General features: G+C 45.9%; 1 protein-coding gene across 15 annotated transcripts in view; it reads left to right on the top strand.

Moving 5' to 3' along the window:
- Positions 1 to 18,843, top strand: part of SUPT6H (SPT6 homolog, histone chaperone and transcription elongation factor) — a 40,475-nt gene that overhangs the window by 1,486 nt on the left and 20,146 nt on the right. For 4 of the 15 annotated variants that reach the window (XM_047436596.1, NM_003170.5, XM_047436606.1 and 1 more), the window contains 12 exons: positions 9,681 to 9,820; positions 10,593 to 10,751; positions 10,847 to 10,923; positions 11,280 to 11,472; positions 11,711 to 11,795; positions 12,467 to 12,740; positions 14,025 to 14,126; positions 14,386 to 14,502; positions 14,855 to 14,944; positions 15,131 to 15,273; positions 17,566 to 17,714; positions 18,192 to 18,290. In XM_047436596.1, the coding sequence (XP_047292552.1) occupies positions 9,712 to 9,820; positions 10,593 to 10,751; positions 10,847 to 10,923; positions 11,280 to 11,472; positions 11,711 to 11,795; positions 12,467 to 12,740; positions 14,025 to 14,126; positions 14,386 to 14,502; positions 14,855 to 14,944; positions 15,131 to 15,273; positions 17,566 to 17,714; positions 18,192 to 18,290 (1,597 nt within the window). In that variant the 5' untranslated portion in view covers positions 9,681 to 9,711. The other 11 variants (XM_047436604.1, XM_047436601.1, XM_047436599.1 and 8 more) reach the window with 11 other exon arrangements.

Genomic DNA, 18,843 nt, shown 5'->3' on the forward strand with positions numbered 1-18,843 from the left:
TCCTTCACATCCCTCTCCAATTACCATGCCAATTTTTTAAATTTCCATTCATAGATTTCTACCTGTACCAACTCAGCTTTCTCAACTTTCATTCACTCTTCATTTTATACCAATCTGGCTTCTCTTCTGCCCACTCCATTTTTTTTTTTTTTTTTGTGGAGACAGGGTCTTGCTCTGTTGCCCAGGTTGGAGTGCAGTGGCCCCATCATAGCTCACTGCCACCTGGAACTCCTGAGCTCAAGCAGTCCTCCTGAGGCAGCTTCTAGTAATCAAGTGCCACCACATCTACTTTGCCCACTCCATTGAAGTTGCTCTTATCAAGGTCACCAGTGACTTCTATGTTGCCAAATCCAATGGATACTTTGTTCTCATATTCCTCTGTCTCTGCAATATTCAACATAGTTACTCCTGCCTCCAAACTTTCATCTTGGCTTTATTGACATTTCACTCTTGGATTTTCTCCATTTCTCCGGCTGTTCCTTCTGAGTCTCATTTGCTAGCAACTTTTGCTCTCTATCTAATGTCTAAATGCTGGGGCTGGTCGCAGTGGCTCATGCCTATAATCCCAGCACTTTGGGAGGTCGAGGTGGGCAGATCACTTGAGGTCAGGAGTTCACAACCAGCCTGGCCAGCATGGTGAAACCCCATCTCTACTAAAAATACAAAAACTAGCCGGGCGTGGCGACACGCCTGTAATCCCAGCTACTTGGGAGGCTGAGGCAGGAGAATCACTTGAACCAGGGAGGCAGAGGTGCAGTGAGCAGAGATCATGCCACTGCACTCCAGCATGGGCAACAGAACAAAACTCCGTCTCAAAATATATGTATATCTACATATGTTGGAATTCTCACAGGAATCCCGAGCCTTCTACATGCTTCCCTTTAGGTAACCCAGCCCCATGGCTTTAATTACCACCTGAAAGTTGGCAACTCCAAAGTTTAAATCTCTAGTCCAGCCCTCTCCTCTATGTTGCAGAATCACGCGTCAAAAATGCCTGTTTAATTATCTCCATTTGGATATTTCTTAGGCACCCAAAGCTAACATAACCAAAAGAAAGTTTTGGTTTTCTCATCATTGCAAACCTTATCCTCCCGTTTCACTGAGTGGTGCTCCTATCCGCAGGGTTACCAAAGATAGACCTCTGAGAATCATCTTTGTTCTTCTCCTTTACTACTCCTCTTCCCCAGTCTTTCAGTAAGTCTTGTCACTTCCACTTGCAGAATGTTTTTGTAATCTGTCTTCTATTCTCCATCTTCACTTTTACCACCTTATTCCAAGCCACCACCATCTTTTGCCTGGGCTACCACAACAGTATCTTCAGTTTTCCCTGGTTTCCACTCAGATCTTCCTCCAGTTCATTTTCCATGTAACAGAATTGGATCAGGGCAGATCATGTCATTTCCCTACTTAAAACTCTCCAGTGACTTTCCATGGCCTTTACGCCCTGCTTGAGCATACCTCTCCCTCATAGGCTGCTGCCTTCACCATGCTCTAGTGCCATCAGCCTCAGGACATCACCTATTATATACCATGTTCTTGCCCACTTTCTCTACTGGAACCTCTCCTCCTACTTCTACAGGTCATATCCTACCTATTGACATCTCAGCCTAAGTAAACTCACTTTAGATGAGATGAGAATATGCATTTCCTTCTTCGCTTTTAGAGCAAGGTTTATTTTATTTGTTGCCAATATGTCTCCTGCACCAGAATACGGGCATCCTAGGGGCATGGACCTAGTCTTGTACGTGCCTGGCATGTGGTAGGCACTCATTAAATACATATTTATGCCAGGCATGGTGGTTCACGCCTATAATCCCAACACTTTGGGAGGCTGAGGCAGGCGGATCACCTGAGGTCAGGAGCTCGAGCCCAGGCTGGCCAACATGGTGAAACCCCGTCTCTGTTAAAGATACAAAGAAAAAATTAGCTGGACGTGGTGGTGGGTGCCTGTAATCCCAGCTACTTGGGAGGCTGAGGCAGGAGAATTGCTTGAACCTGGGAGGCGGAGGTTGCAGTGAGCTGAGATCGTGCCACTACACTCCAAGCCTGGGCAATGGAGCGAGACTCTGTCTCAAAAAAACGTATATGTATATGTATATGTATTTGTCCTAGCTACCTGGGAGGCTGAGGTGAGATTATGGCTTGAGCCCAGGAGGTGGAGGCTGCAGTGAGATGTAATCACACCACTGCACTCCAGTCTGGGTGACAGAGCAGGACCCCATCTCAGAAAATAATAAGTTTTTGTTGGATTAGCAAGTAGATTAAGTTCAGTTCTACATTTAAAACCCTGCAATGGCTTCCCAGTGCCTAGATCCTTATGACTTCTCCAACCCTTATGAACCATTCTTCCTCTCCTGGGCCTTCTCTGTACCTGCCACAGTACACGTGTTGTGCTAGAAGCACACGTCTCTGACATCACTCCCCAAACCATCTCCAAAGAAGCCAGCTCCTCTGCTGAACTAATTCCTCCTTACTCTTAAGGTCTTTGTTTAAAGTCACTTCCTCAAAACCAGGTTAGGTTGTCTTATTACAGGATCCCATGCTATTCTTATCATCAATTCTCTAAATCAGGGGTCACAAACTAAGGCCTGTGAGCCAAATAAGGTCACCCCCATTCATTTACATGTTATGTATGCTGTGCTACAGTGGCAGATTTGGCCCTATAGAGAAAAGGAAAGGTTTGCCAACCCCTGTGCTAGAGCAGGAACTATGCGCTCCTCAATGTGTGTACCACAAGGTTCAGTAACTGTTAATCTCTCTTTGTGTTGCAGGGGTTCTGAATCTGGTTACATATTTCAGTTGTACTCTTCTTTAGCCCTTACCCTGTTTCTCTAAAGAAATGTGGAAAGAAAAGGAATACTTTTTTTTTTTTTTTTTTTGAGACGGAGTCTCGCTCTGTCACCTTGGCTGGAGTGCAATGGCATGATCTCGACTCACTGCAAGCTCTGACTCCCACGTTCAAGCGATTCTCCTGCCTCAGCCTCCTGAGTAGCTGGGATTACAGGCGTGCACCACCACACCCGGCTAATTTTTGTATTTTTAGTGGAGACAGGGTTTCATCATGCTGGCCAGGCTGGTCTCGAGCGTCTGACCTGACCTGAAGTGATCAGCCTGCCTCAGCCTCCCAAAGTGCTGGCATTATAGGCGTGAGCCACCGCGCCCAGCCGAATAAATAATATTTTTAAATGAACAAAATTAACTTTTTCTGTATTTTAACATCTTGACTTCATGTAATTAGGTTTTCAGGGTTTTTTTAATTACAAAGCCTTCTGAATTCCAGATTTAAAAGGACTTAAGTAGACTCTAAATACTTTTATCTATTAAACTTTTAGGTTTTGAAATTCCAAATTGGATATTCACTTATGGATACCTTTGGAATAGTCCTAGTCCCTTGCCCATAAAATATAGGATACAAGTGTAATCCCAGCACTATGAGAGGCTGAGACGGGCGGATCACAAGGTCAGGAGATTGAGACTATCCTGGCTAACACGGTGAAACCCCGTCTCTACTAAAAATACAAAAAAAAAAAAATAGCTGGGCGTGGTGGTGGGCACCTGTAGTCCCAGCTGCTTGGGAGGTTGAGGCAGGAGAATGGCGTGACCCCAGGAGGCGGAGCTTGCAGTGAGCCCAGATCATGCCACTGCACTCCAGCCTGGGTAACTGAGCAAGACTCCGTCTCAAAAAAAAAAAAAAAAAAAAAAAAGTGTGTGTGTGTATATATATATATATATATATATATATATATGTATGTGTGTGTGTATACATATGTATGTATATGTGTATATATGTGTGTGTATATATGTATATGTGTATATATATATAAATACGTGTGTGTGTGTGTGTTTTATATATATATATGTATATATGATACAAGACAACATGGAATGTCTTGTAGCTTAAACTCCACCCTAGACTTCTGGGGCTGTTCTCCAGAGCACCACGCCTAAATGTTTGCTCATGTTGCCTTTTTCCAGACTGTTTTCTTAAATCCTCTTTTATTCAGGCATCACCTTTTCTCAGATATTCCCCAACCTTCCCATTGCTCTCATAGTCCAGTTATATAACTTAACATAACCCTATTGTGCTTTGTCATAACGTTATTAACAAGTTTTTTGAGATAGATTGTGAACTCCACCAAGACTGTGAACTCCACCGGGGTAGGAAGCATATTTTACTCATTTTTATATACACAAGTCCCAGCACAGAGCTTGACTCTAAAAAAAAAAAACCCAGCAAATGTTAATTGAAGCTGCAAAGTGGAAGGAATTAACAGACTAGATCTCTTTTCACTCTGGTCTCCTCTTAATTGCCTACTACAACTTCTTGTTCAAAGGGAGGGACTGCAGAGGGCCTCCCTTGTGGCAATCTGATCCCAGTTCCATTCCTCTTCCAGCGAATGTCATGGTAACCACCAGCCTCTCCCATTGAGCCACATCTTGTTCTGCAGCTGTGCTTCTGACTAGAGAAACCTCTCCCTCCATCTCCCCACTGCCCTTCTAGACCTATTCCAGTTGCAAATTTAACTTACAGTGTGAGTATGGGGAAAATTTTAAGAGCATAAGTGCTAAATACAACATCCAAACTACATCAGGCTCATCATAGATACCATGTATTAATAATAATCATACACAAATAAATACATTAGTGTCTTTATTCTAGAGTAGTTCCCGCTTGTCAGTCTCAGACTGCAGTGCTACTGCAGTCTGCACATCTAGCTCCTGCAAGTTGCAGCAAGTCAGAATTGCTTCTGGCACACCTCTTATAACTGGAAGTCTTGGTATTGAGCTAGATTGGAGGCATTCCCCAGCTATAGCATAGTGTGTGCTTTATTGCTAACCTAGGCGATGGGAAGAAAGAGAACACAGCTATCTTTCCAAGCTGTGTGCAGCATGGAGCACCAGCTGCCCTTGAGACAGAAGAAAGCTGTTGTTTTCATCAGGTAGGCTGTGTGTTTCTCTGTTAAGTAGGCTGAGGGGCATCTGGTCTGCAGGAGCTGGCATTTAATTTGAAGATGTTGAGGCCTTAAAAGATTGAACTTGTGGGTCTGATAGCCTAATTAGAACAAGCTATGTGTGGGGGCTGCCGTACTCAAATCTGTTTTTAATGGCTCAGTTCAGGGCTGAGGGGGAGCAATGTCAAAATTAAAATTAGAGCTCTAGATTTAATTGGCAGAAGTTTAAGACTTTCACTTTTGGCAGTGCTCAAGCTAAATGACCTTAAGGATAGAGATCTTGGGGTCATGGGGGAGCATCACCCTAACCCCTAGGCTTACTATACCGCATCTCTTTAGGGTCTTTACAGTCACTCCTCAACTTTTTGGACTCAGGACCCCTTTATACTCTTAAAACTTATTTAGGACTTCAAAGACATTTTGTTTATGTGAGTTATATCCTTTGATATTTACCAGATTCGAAATTAAAACTCAGTGAGACATTTAAAAATATTTATTGATTTATTTTAAAGTAGTAAACAATAATACTTTTTATGAATAACAGTAGTTTTTTGGGTTTTTTTGTTTGTTTGTTTGTTTTGAGACGGAGTCTCACTGTCGGTGCAGTAGCACCATCTTGGCTCACTGCAACCTCTGCCTTCCAGGTTCAAGCAATTCTCCTGCTTCAGCCTCCTGAATAGCTGGGACTACAGGCGCCTGCCACCATACCCAGCTAATTTTTCATTTTTAGTGGAGGCAGAGTTTCACCATGTTGGCCAGGCTGGTCTCAAACTGCTGACCTCAGGTGATCGGCCTGCCTCGGCCTGGGGTTACAGGCATGAGCCACAGCACTCGGCCGAATAATAATAGTTTTTAAAACAAAACATTTTAGTAAGAATGGACTGGGTGTGGTGGCTCACTCCTGTAATCCCAGAACTTTGGAAGGTCGAGGCAGGTGGATCACTTGAGCTCAGGAGTTCGAAACCAGCCTGGCTAACATGGTGAAACTTTGTCTTAAAAAATAAATGAATAGCCGGGCGTGGTGGCTCACGCCTGTAGTCCCAGCACTTTGGGAGGCCAAGGCAGGTGGATCACTTGAGGTCAGGAGTTCGAGACCAGCCTGGCCAATATGGCCAAACCCCATCTCTACTAAAAAAAACAAAAATTAGCTAGACGTGGTGGCGAGCGCCTGTAGTCCCACCTACTCGGGAGGCTGAGGCAAGAGAATCGCTTGAACCCAGGAGGCGGAGGTTGCAGCGAGCCAGGATCGTGCCATTGCACTTCATCCTGGGTGAGAGAGTAAGACTCTGTCTCAAAATAAGTAAATTAAGTAAGAATGACATTCTTTGTTTTTTAGTACAATGTTTTAATGTCTGCTCTAACAGAATACAGCTGTGTTCTCATATGTTTTTGCATTCAGTCTGTTGTGATAACCACATGTCCTATAACCTCTGGAAAACTCCACTCTATGCTCCTGAGAGAACAGAGGGACTGGCCCCTGGACCACGCCCTGAAAACTATTGATAGATGTGGTACTGTCAACCATGAAGAGTCAGACAGACCTCAGCACTTACAGATGATAGTTTTGTCACCTTGAACAAATGACTACATCTCTCTGAGTCTGTTTCCTCCTCTGTTGAGAGAGAAGTGTGCTGTAACTCATAGGACAGTGTAGGGATTAATAGAATACTTGTTCTCCTTGATAGGGACATAAAATAGTAGGGTATTTGTTAGTGTCTGGCACTTGGTAGGTGTGTAATAAGCATTATTCCTCAGGGTACTTTTTAAAAAATTGCTTAAAATACCCAAGAGAGACCCATATTATTTTGATTGGGTTTTGTGTGTGTGTTGTGAGTTTATTGTCCAGTTCTCTTCCTGTGCCTGTTCTGTGTGTCTATTGTAATATATAAAACGATTTTATGGTCCTTATTTTCATATTTCTATCTCTAGGAGACATTCAACTCCTTGAAAATGAACAATCCGGCCAGGCGCGGTGGCTCACGCCTGTAAATCCCAGCACTTTGGGAGGCCGAGGCGGGCAGATCACCTGAGGTCAGGAGTTCAAGACCAGCCTGACCAACATGGAGAAACCCCCTCTCTACTAAAAATGCAAAATTAGCCAGCATGGTGGTGCATGCCTGTAATCCCAGCTACTCGGGAGGCTGAGGCAGGAGAATCGCTTGAACCCAGGAGGTGGAGGTTGCGGTGAGCCGAGATCACGCCATTGCACTCCAGCCTGGGCAACAAGAGCGAAACTCCATCTCAAAAAAAAAAAAGAAAGAAAATGAACAATTCTCTTCAAATCCCCAGCTCTTAGCAGAGTATATGTACATTGTAGGCATTCAGTTAGGTTTGTGGAAAGAATGGCATCTGAAACCTCAACCGAAAATTGAACATTCCCCCTCCCTCCTATACCTTCAGTTTTGTTTTCTTGAGTTTAGTTAATCTCAAGTTCATTGGTTATAGTATTGATTGAGCTCCGTAAGGGCAATTTTGAGGAGAATTAGAGCCACAGAACTTAAGGCACCTTCAGGTAGCCATTAGCCACCCTTCTCTTCTCTCCCCTCCCACTGCCATCTTTAACTGGGAAGATGGCAGCAATATGAAAACGTAAGTAGTTTATTTAACAGACACTTAACAGTTGCTAATTTGTTAGCAGCTAATTTGTTGCTAATGTGTTGCAGCACACCTGAAGGGATATAGCTTTTCTGGTGCAGAATCACAGAGTGCCTTGTAATGCCTCTTGTATTGCCATTTATGTTTTCATGATTTTTATTAGTCTCTCTATTGGATATGTTCTTTATCTTCCAGAAGCTTGTAGTCTAAGTGAGAGAAAGGTACATGGGATATATCCCATAGACCATTTTACTGGATGGGGTGAGGAGTGATGCTGAGTGTGTCAGCAGCCAGCTTTAGGGTTCCACAATGGAATCTTGTTGTGATGATGTGTGCTGTTTTTTAAGTCCTACTCAAGGCCCATCAAGCTCCATGTTACGGTTCTTGAAGATCCCTACTGTCGTTTCCAGGCTTTGGATGAGTCTGAAAGCAGGGAAGTAGAAGATAAAGTTGGGGTTGGTTGGTACAGAATTACAGAATGCTAAGGAAAATTAGGCTCAGGATTCAAATTCAAACTCAGGTTAACCCATCTTGAAACAATAGGTTCTTTCCCCTATGTCATGTAATATTCTCAACTATCCTGTAAGGTAGGTAGCGCTATTACCATTTTCCAGGTTAAGAAAGTGATATTCAGGCATGTCCAATAATTTGCTTAAGTTTATGTTTAGCCCGTAGGGTATGAAACCAGGATTTGATTTCTACTCTTGAGCCCAGCAGTCTTTCCATTTAACCATGTTGCATTTATTTTGTAGGACATGGAAGCCTTTCAAGATTTTTTGCCTGCAAGGGGAGTAAATGATAAAACTAGGCCCTTTTTGGACCCAAATGCTCCCAACCAGTACTCACACAAATTGGCTCAAGTTCATGAAGTATTTGTGTGTTTAATCTATTGAAAAGAGATTTTGCTTTTGACTTTGCTAATAAGTATGAATAGTGTATGTAAACATATGAAAGCACCTTTTATAAAGTTGGCACTTATTGTTTCCAAGCCTCCTAGAAGCAGATCACATAATCTCACTCTACCACCATATCCCCACTTAATTGTCCCTACATTAGTTTCTTTCCTCATTTGCCCATTCCTGTCTTCAAATGGTAAGTGAGGTAAAACTTTGGGGAAGAGAGATGATACATATACAAGTCTGGTATAATTGCCTTCTTTTTCTTTTTTTCTTTTCTTTTTTTTTCTTTTTTTTCGAGGCAGATTTTGCTCTTGTTGCCCAGGCTGGAGTGCAGTGGTGCAATCTCAGCTCACTGCAACCTCCACCTCCCGGGGTCAAACCATTCTCCTGCCTAAGCCTCCAGAGTAACTGGGATTACAGGCACCTGCCACCATACCCGGATAATTTTTGTATTTTTAGTAGAGACGGGGTTTCACCATGTTGGCCAAGCTGGTCTCGAACTCCTGACCTCAGGTGATCCACCTGCCTTGGCCTCCCTAAGTGCTGGGGTTATAGGAGTGAGCTACCACGCCTGGCCTAATGGCTTTTTTTTTTAAGACAGAGTCTCACTCTCTCGCCAGGCTGGAATGCAGTGGCGCAATCTGCAACCTCCACCTTCCGGATTCAAGAGATTCTCCTGCCTCAGCCTCCTGAGTAGCCTGGCTTTTGCCTTCTTTTTGAAAGTACGTATGAGGCCGGGTGCGGTGGCTCACGCCTGTAATCCCAGCACCTTGGGAGGCCAAGGTGGGCAGATCACCTGAGTTCAGAAGTTCAAGACCAGCCTGGCCAACGTGTTGAAACCACATCTCTTCTAAGAGTACAAAAATTAGCCAGGCATGGTGGCGCATGCCTATAATCCCAGCTACTCGGGAGGCTAAGGCAGGAGAATCACTTGAACCCAGGAGGTGGAGGTTGCAGTGAACGGAGATTGCGCCACTGTACTCCAGCCTGGGTGAGAGAGTGAGACGCCACCTCAAAAAAAAAAAAAAAAAGTACATATGAGAGAAGCAATGCTGGGAGGAATGGATAATGGAAGAGTTGGAACCATCAGATTCTTCTTTTCTTCTCCCCAAGTGGGAATGTTGAGTGGGCAGAGCAGTGGCAGGTTGCTAAAAGGCTGTTTGTGGGAAGGTTTAAGAGCCCTCTGTACAATCATGTGTCCGTTTTTTTATCCTTCACTCTTTTCTTTCCCTAGTTATCTTCAGGCAGAGTGAGAAGCTGCAGCAATGTCTGATTTTGTGGAAAGCGAGGCTGAGGAGTCAGAGGAAGAATACAATGATGAAGGCGAGGTGGTACCCCGAGTCACCAAGAAATTTGTGGAAGAGGAGGATGATGGTGAGGAGGCCCCAGCCTCAAGCTTCTCCCCACTATTGCTAAGCTTTGGATAGTTGGATTCTTGCTGATGAAAAGCTCAGGCTCAGCACAGAAGTTATCACACATGAGGTACCAGCTTGAGAACTTTCAGTCATTCTTAGCAGATACTAACTGAGCATCTGTCTGTATGCCAGGCACTAGGCCTGGAACTAGAAATATAAAACAATAAATATCCAGCTATTGTGGAGTTTACTTTAGTTGGGGGGTGGTTGATAATAAATCAGTAGATAAGTCTGTATATAATACTTTCTGCTTTTAGACCTAGCATTGTTGATATTTATTCACCTCGTTTCCTATTTCTCTGGCCAAGCCCAATCTTTAGAATTGTCAACAGAGTAGAACCACGAAATGACTTCAAAGGGGTAAAGGGACGTACAAGTTTTATCAAAGGAATTATGGCAAAAAAAAGGAATATAGCTGCTGAGTTTACAAACTGAGTAAAACAAAGTTATTGGTGGCTATAATAATCTAGTAATGATTTTGAGAAGCCAAAGTGACGGGGAAGATCATCCTGCCCAAAGACAGATGGTGAATGTAGGGGAAGAAAACATTCTTTCCAGATGCTGCTACTCTAAGTCAATGGCTATGTTTTGCATCTTTACATGAGGCAGAAGAGTTAACATGGCACCCAGGTCATTAGGTGCAGAGCAAATGGATAATCACATTAATCAAGTGACCCTGAACCTCTAGCCTGTTTTTCAGTCTCCATGCCTCAAACATGCATGTCTTCCAGATGAGGAGGAGGAGGAGGAGAACCTAGATGATCAGGATGAGCAAGGCAACTTGAAAGGCTTTATCAATGACGATGATGATGAAGATGAAGGGGAGGAGGATGAGGGCAGTGACTCTGGTGATTCAGAAGATGATGTTGGCCACAAGAAGAGAAAACGCAGTGAGTAGTCTGTCGTTGGCTCAAGTGAGGCTTGGGTGGAGGTTGCAGTGGAAAAGGGCAACCCCATCACCATGGGCAACACTTTGTTTCTTCAGCCTCTTTTGATGACCGCCTGGAGGATGATGATTTTGACCTCATTGAGGAGAATTTGGGTGTCAAAGTCAAAAGAGGAGTAAGTGTCATTCTTTGTCTTTTGTCCCTGGGGGTAAAGGAAAAAGCCCTGGAAATTTCAATGTCTGTGGGTGAGGAGGCACACGCAGGACAGTTTGGAGAACATTAGAGCACGGTGTTCGGTATCATTGTACTACGGAGCCTAGATTTGCATCCCAGATCTGGGTGCCTGTTAGAGAAAGTCTTGTCCAAGTTTCAAGGATGGGCTTTGAGGCTACAAGAGCATCACTCGGCATGTTCTTTCCCATCTCTCTTGGTCAGAGTAATTGTGGTGGGAAGAAGGGAGTGAGACTGGAGATTTGGTATCCGTATGCCAGACTCCTCAGATCCTGATAAGGCAGGTTTTCCCACCCCTAGCAAAAGTACCGGCGTGTCAAAAAAATGTCAGATGACGAGGACGATGACGAGGAGGAATATGGCAAGGAGGAACATGAAAAAGAAGCTATTGCGGAAGAAATCTTCCAGGATGGGGAAGGGGAAGAAGGGCAGGAGGCCATGGAGGCCCCCATGGCTCCTCCAGAGGAGGAGGAAGAAGATGATGAGGAGTCAGGTATGTTATATTGGGCAGGGAAGCCAGTGTTTGGATGGGTATTGGGATTTCCTGGCCCATGGGAACAGGATGGAAACCATTCTTTAGCTACATCCCCCAGCATTTGACACAAAGAAGTTCCTTTTCAGGAGCTTCCCTTCTCTGTTGCTCACTGGCCACTCACATAGTAGGAACCAAAGCAATTTAGTCCTGGCTCAGCCCCTGACTCTGAGCCCCAACCCATCCTTTTCCTACCCAGATATTGACGACTTCATTGTGGATGATGATGGACAGCCTCTGAAAAAACCTAAGTGGCGGAAAAAGCTTCCTGGATACACAGACGCGTGAGTGGGGTCTGGTACAAGGTGGGGATAAAGTGATTGAGTGGGCCCAGTCAGGAAGGAGGAGATCAGAGGCCTTTGCCAAAAATGGGGCATTCCCAGCTTGCAGCCATTTTGCTTCCCTGCCTCAAATAACCTCTACCAGGCAGTGATTTCAGACTGCTCCCGGAAGCCCTGGGAGCTGTCTCTGCACTCTAGGACTACTGTGGGATTGGAGTAGAGTCCCACATGGGCAAGGCTCCAGCATTCCTCTTCCGCCTACAGCTCCATGTTTATTCAATTATATATATATTGACATTCTTAATATATTTTTGTTGGAAGACAAATGCCCGCATCACAATTTACAAATTTGAAAGCTTTTGCCCTGAGGGAATACTGTAATGCCTTAGCAGAAGATGGGTCCACTGAGCAAGACATAGACCCGTCTGCTCTGTTGCTATTTGATTACTGTCACTCGAAGGTGCCAAAGATGAGCTTTTTAATCTTCCATATACAATAGTTTGCCCAGAAATATCCGCCAATGAAGCCTTTCGTCCACAGTGAATATGGTTATTTTGTTTACCTTCCTCCTAACCCTCTCAGTTCCCTTGGGACAAGTAAAGGATCTATGCAAGGGCTGCATTTCTCTCCTCTCACCTGAACCTGAGCCACCTGCCTCTTGCTGCCACCTACAGGGCCCTGCAAGAAGCCCAGGAAATCTTCGGTGTGGACTTTGACTATGATGAATTTGAGAAATACAATGAGTATGATGAAGAACTGGAGGAAGAGTATGAGTATGAGGATGATGAGGCTGAGGGTGAAATCCGAGTGCGCCCCAAGAAGACCACCAAGAAGCGTGTGAGCCGTAGGAGCATCTTTGAAATGTATGAGCCCAGTGAGCTAGAAAGCAGCCACCTCACAGATCAGGACAATGAAATCCGAGCCACTGACCTGCCTGAGAGGTTCCAGGTAAAAAACCACCAGCCTCTGCTCTTCTACCAATCCATAATTACCTTGTAGCCAAGAAATATTCTAGCAAAAGTCTGGCATTGAGTATCCAGCACAGGTTTGAACCTCATCTCACCTGGGGCCTGGGAAATCCAGCTCTTAGAGAAGGGAAGATAGACTCTACCTTGCTTACGGTTCTAGAAATACTGTTTTCTTTAGAAATCTGTGAAATGCAGTCTGGGTGCTGTGGCTCACACCTATAATCCCAGCACTTTAGGAGGCCAGGGTGGCAGATTGCTTGAGTCCAGGAACTCAAGACCAGCCTGGGCAACATAGGGAGATCTTGTCTCTACAAAAAATACAAAAAACTAGCTGGTTGTGATGGTGCACACCTGTAGTTTCAGCCACTCAGGAGGCTGAGGTGGGAAGATTGCTTGAACTTGGGAGGTCACGGCTGCAGTGAGCCATCATTGCACCACTGCACTGCAGCCTAGAAGCAGACCCTGTCTCAAAAAAAAAAAACCATGAAATGCTTATGGCCAGGCACGGTGGTTCACACCTGTAATCCCAGCACTTTGGAAGGCCAAGGTGGGTGGATCACCTGAGGTCAGGAGTTCGAGACCAGCCTGGCCAACATTGTGAAACCCCGTCTTTACTAAAAATGTAAAAAATTAGCTGGGCGGCCAGGCACGGTGACTCACGCCTGTAATCCTAGCACTTTGGGAGGCCAAGGTGGGTGGATTGCCTGAGCTCAGGAGTTAGAGGCCAGCCTGGGCAACATGGTAAAACCCTGTCTCTACTAAAATACAAAAAAAAAAAAAAATTAGCTGGGCGTTGACAGCATGCATCTGTAATCCCAGTTACTTGGGAGGTTGAGGCAGGAGAATTCCTTGAACCTGGGAGGCGGAGGTTACAGTGAGCTGAGATCGCGCCATTGCACTCCAGCCTGGGCAACAGAGCGAGACTCCATCTCAAAAAAAAAAAAATCAGCTGGGCGTGGTGGCGGGCACCTATGATCCTAGCTACTCAGGAGGCTGAGGCAGGAGAATCATTTGAACTCCGGAGGCGGAGGTTGCAGTGACCCTAGATCGCGCCGTTGTGTTCCAGCCTGAGCAACAAGAGTGAGACACCATCTCAAAAAAAAAAAATGCTTATTTCATGCCAGAACAACACTGGTATGGCATTTGTAGAACAATACTGGAAATGTGCACTTGATGATCACACGTTTCTGTCCAAAAAGGTATGTTTTTCTTAAGTGAGACACAAGATAAAGTCCGTCTCACCCTGTTGTCTTATCCACTCCAGCTCCGCTCCATCCCAGTCAAGGGGGCTGAAGATGATGAACTAGAAGAAGAAGCTGACTGGATCTACAGGAATGCTTTTGCCACACCAACCATTTCTCTCCAGGTACACAAAAAAGATCCTTAGGTTTTGACATGAACCAAAAGACACTTCATCAAGATGGGGAGCTCTTCCTCCCCTATTTCATACATCCGTGTGCCTGGTATTAGAAAACTGTGTGTATGTAGTCCCAACAAGTGTGTGTATATGAGAAAAATTTTTTAGATTTCATCTAGAAAGGTTATCCTTTGTTATTAAGCAGTCTTGTATGGTAAGACAAACCAAGTAAACATTGTCTTGCTATTTCTTTATTTTCCTACTGTAGGAAAGCTGTGATTACCTAGACCGAGGGCAGCCAGCCAGCAGCTTCAGTCGGAAAGGGCCCAGCACAATTCAGAAGATCAAAGAGGCCCTGGGCTTCATGCGAAATCAGCATTTTGAGGTAACACCTCAAGCTCTGGTGGCCCATTGGTGAGAAATTTAGTTAGGGGATGAGGGAAAAGATAATTACCTAAATGAGGTGGGAGCCCCCTTCCCGTATCCCCTATCCATGACTCAACAAGTGTTAGGACCAGCAGAGACCCTAGTGATCGTAAGAACAATGCTACCCTGTCTGCAGCTTTATTTTCTCCTATTGAGGAAAGCACCAGGCCCTGGAAGGGCTGTGAGGGAGGCCAGGCTTCTGACTGTTGAATTTCCTGGAGCTGTTTCTCCAGGAAGTCATTATCTACTGACAGAGGGGATCTTAGCAAATCTGTCTTCTCTGAGTGACTGCAGTCTCTTTGCCATCCTAGGTGCCTTTTATTGCCTTCTATCGAAAGGAGTATGTGGAGCCTGAGTTGCACATCAATGACCTATGGAGAGTCTGGCAGTGGGATGAAAAGGTAATGTAGATCCGTGGCCCCCAAGAGGTGTGGGCCAGGGAAGGCACCATTACTACCAGGATACCACAAACCCAAACCCCCCAGGCCTGTCTAGTCCTCCCCCACTAGGTTTCTGGTAAGGATCAGAGCAGCCTTGAGTCTCCAGGGCTGAACACAAGCTCTCATTCCTGCCCTACTTCACCTTAGTGGACCCAGCTGCGGATCCGTAAAGAGAACCTAACACGGCTGTTTGAGAAGATGCAGGCTTATCAGTATGAACAGATCTCTGCTGACCCTGACAAACCTCTTGCTGATGGCATCCGGGCTCTGGACACCACTGACATGGAGAGGTAAAACATGCGGTGTTTATTCCATTATGGGAAGCCCTCAGACCCCAAGGCTGGCCCTGCAGGAGCACTGTTAAACCTTGGAGAATGTGTAGCACAGGGCCCCATCCCTTAGAAATCCAACTTGTCAACCAGGCACAGTGGCTCATGCCTGTAATCCCAGCAATTTGGGAGGCCGAGGCGGGCAGATCACTTGAGGTCAGGAGTTCAAGATCAGCTTGGCCAGCATGGTGAAACCCCATCTCTACTAAAAATACAAAAAATTAGCTGGGAGCAGTGGCACACGCCTGTAATCCCAGCTACTCAGGAGGCTGAGGCAGGAGAATTGCTTGAACCTGGGAGGCGGAGGTTGCCGTGAGCTGAGATCGTGCCACTGCTCTCCAGCCTGGGCAACAGAGCGAGACTTCGTCTCAAAAAAAAAAAAGAATTATAGCTTGTCAAAGCCAGGCGTGGTGGCTTCTGCCTGTAGTCCCAGTTACTTGGGAGGATGAGGCAAGAGTATCACTTCAGCCCAGGAATTCAAGGTTGCAGTGAGCTATGATTATGCCACTATACTCCACACTGAGTGAAAGAGCAAGATCCGGTTTTTTTTTGTATTTTTAGTAGAGACAGGGTTTCAGTGTGTTAGCCAGGATGGTCTTGATCTCCTGACCTCGTGATCTGCCCGCCTCGGCCTCCCAAAGTGCTGGGATTACAGGCATGAGCCACTGCGCCCGGCCGATCCTGTCTCATAAGAAAAAGGGGGCTGGGGCCTGGCACGGTGGCTAACGCTTGTAATCCTGGCACTTTGGGAAGCCAGGGCGGGCGGGTCATGAGGTCAGGAGTTCGAGACCAGCCTGGCCAACACAGTGAAACCCTGTCTTTACTGAAAATACAAAAATTAGCTGGGCGTGGGGACAGGCGCCTGTAATTCCAGCTACTCGGGAGGCTGAGGCAGGAGAATTGCTTGAATCTAGGATGCAGAGGTTGCAGCGAGCCGAGATCGTGCCACTGCACTCCAGGCCTGGGCGACAGAGCTAGACTCCATCTCAAAAAAAAAAAAAAAGAAAGAAAGAAAAAGGAGGCCAGGCGCAGTGCCTCATGCCTGTAATCCCAACACTTTGGAAGACTGAGGTGGGCAGATCACCTGAGGTCAGGAGTTCAAGACCAGCTTGGCCAACATGGTGAAACCCCGTCTCTACTAAAAATACAAAAAATTAGCTCGGTGTGGTGGCAGGCACCTGTAATCCCAGCTACTCAGGAGGCTGAGACAGGAGAATCGCTTGAACCTGGGAGGTGGAGGTTGCAATGAGCCGAGATCGTGCCATTGCACTCCAGCCTGGGTGATGAGCAAAACTCCATCTCAAAAGAAGAGAGGCTGGGCGTGGTGGCTCACACCTGTAATCCCAGCACTTTGGGAGGCTGAGGTGGGCAGATCACCTGACGTCAGGAGTTTGAGACCAGACTGGCCAACATGGTGAAACCCTGTCTCTACTAAAAATACAAAAATTAGTCGGGTGTGGTGGTGCGTGCCTGTGATCCCAGCTCGCGAGGCTGAGGCAGGAGAATCTCTTAAACCCAGGAGGTGGAGGTTGCAGTGAGCCGAAATCACGCCATTACACTCCAGCCTGGGTGACAAGAGCAAGACTCCATCTCAAAAAAATAAATAAATACGATATGTTCTAGGGCTATCATGTGTCTTGGTTTTGTTTTTGTTTTTGTTTTTGTTTTGAGAGGAGTCTCACTCTGTCGCCCAGGTTGGAGCGCAGTGGCACGATCTTGGCTCACTGCAAGCTCCACCTCCCAGGTTCATACCATCTGCCTCAGCCTCCCAAGTAGCTGGGACTACAGGCACCTGCCACTATACCCTGCTAGTTTTTTGTATTTTTAGTAGAGACGGGGTTTCACCGTGTTAGCCAGGATGGTCTCTATCTCCTGACGTCGCGATCCCTCCGCCTTGGCCTTCCAAAGTGCTGGGATTACAGGCATGAGCCACTGCACCAGCTATGTGTCTTTAAAAAAGAAAAAAAGAAATGGTCTTTCTTCTGTTGCCTAGGATGGAGAGCAGTGGTGTGGTCACAGTTCGCGGCAGCCTCAACCGCCCGGGTTCAAGTGATCATCCCATCTCCAGTCTGGGCAACAGAGTGAGACCCTGTCTCAGAAAAATAATAACAATAGTAATAATAATTGGAAAAAACTGGTTGGGATCCCATTTTAGTTGGGATACTGCCTTTTGGGAATTGGACCTCTTGTAGCCAAATTGGGATATACCCTTTCTGCAGTGATGACTGAAACCTTATGTCTCTTCTTTTTCAGGCTCAAGGATGTCCAATCAATGGATGAGCTGAAAGATGTCTACAACCATTTTCTTCTTTATTATGGCCGAGACATCCCTAAGATGCAGAACGCCGCCAAAGCTAGCCGCAAGAAGCTGAAGCGTGTCAGGGAAGAGGGAGATGAAGAAGGTTAGTGCTGGAAAAGAAAATCCAGGAGATTTGATGGCCATGCATGATGGCTCACGCATGTAATCCCAGCATTTTCAGATGCTAAGGTGGGTGGATCACCTGAGGTCAGGAGTTCGAGACCAGCCTGGCCAACATGGCAAAACCCCATCTCTACTAAAAATACAAAAGTAGCCAGGGTAGGTGGCACATGCCGGTAATCCCAACTGCTCAGGAGGCTGAGGCATGCCTGAACCTAGAGGCAGTTGTTGCAGTGAGTTGAGATCATGCCACTGCACACCAGCCTGGGCAACAAACCGAGGCTGTGTCTCAAAAAAAAAAAAAAAAAATCAAGAAAGAAAACCCAGGAGACTTGACAGCCCATGGCATCTTGAAGGAGGCCCTTGGCTGGGTACCCTTTGAGGCTTCTCTCCTAATGTGTCAGATCCTTGGGAGTGATTGGAAACTAGAACCCTAAATCTCCCCATGTTTTCTTCCCAGGTGAAGGTGACGAGGCAGAAGATGAGGAGCAGAGGGGGCCTGAGCTCAAGCAAGCCTCTCGCCGAGACATGTACACCATCTGCCAGAGTGCTGGGCTAGGTAAAAGCTAGCTGCTTTGGGATTTAGGCATTCTAGCCTGAGCAAGGGGAGTTACCCAGAAAAAAGACTGGTAGGTAGGAAAAAGAAAGGCTATCTGGGTCAATCACCAATCCAATCCTGAACTAGCCTATTAGCTGGTCTTTAAAAATACTCCCTCTCCAAACCCATTCCCGCCCGACATGATGGTTCAGCCTCTCCCTAATTTCCTGAGATAATGGGAAACTCATGATTGGAGGGAGAGAGTCCAGTCTGTCTGTTTCTTCTGCCTTATAACAGCCCATCAAGTGTTTAAAATCAGTTTTTTCATTGTTCTTTGACTACCTGGTCCTGCTCATTTATGGCCTCTTTAAATTCCAGTGCTCTAGCTGGGCACAGTGGCTCACGCATGTAATCCCAGCACTTCGGAGGTCAAGGTGGGAGGATCACTTGAGCCCAGGATTTGGAGGCCAGCCTGGTCAACGTAGCAAAACTACAAAAAATACAGAAAAAATTAGCCAGGAGTGGTGGGACACACCTGTAGTCCCAGCTACTCGGGAAAGCTGAAGTGGGAGGA

The sequence above is a fragment of the Homo sapiens genome, chromosome 17 (genome assembly GCF_000001405.40).
Source record: "Homo sapiens chromosome 17, GRCh38.p14 Primary Assembly".
Taxonomy (NCBI): domain Eukaryota; kingdom Metazoa; phylum Chordata; class Mammalia; order Primates; family Hominidae; genus Homo; species Homo sapiens.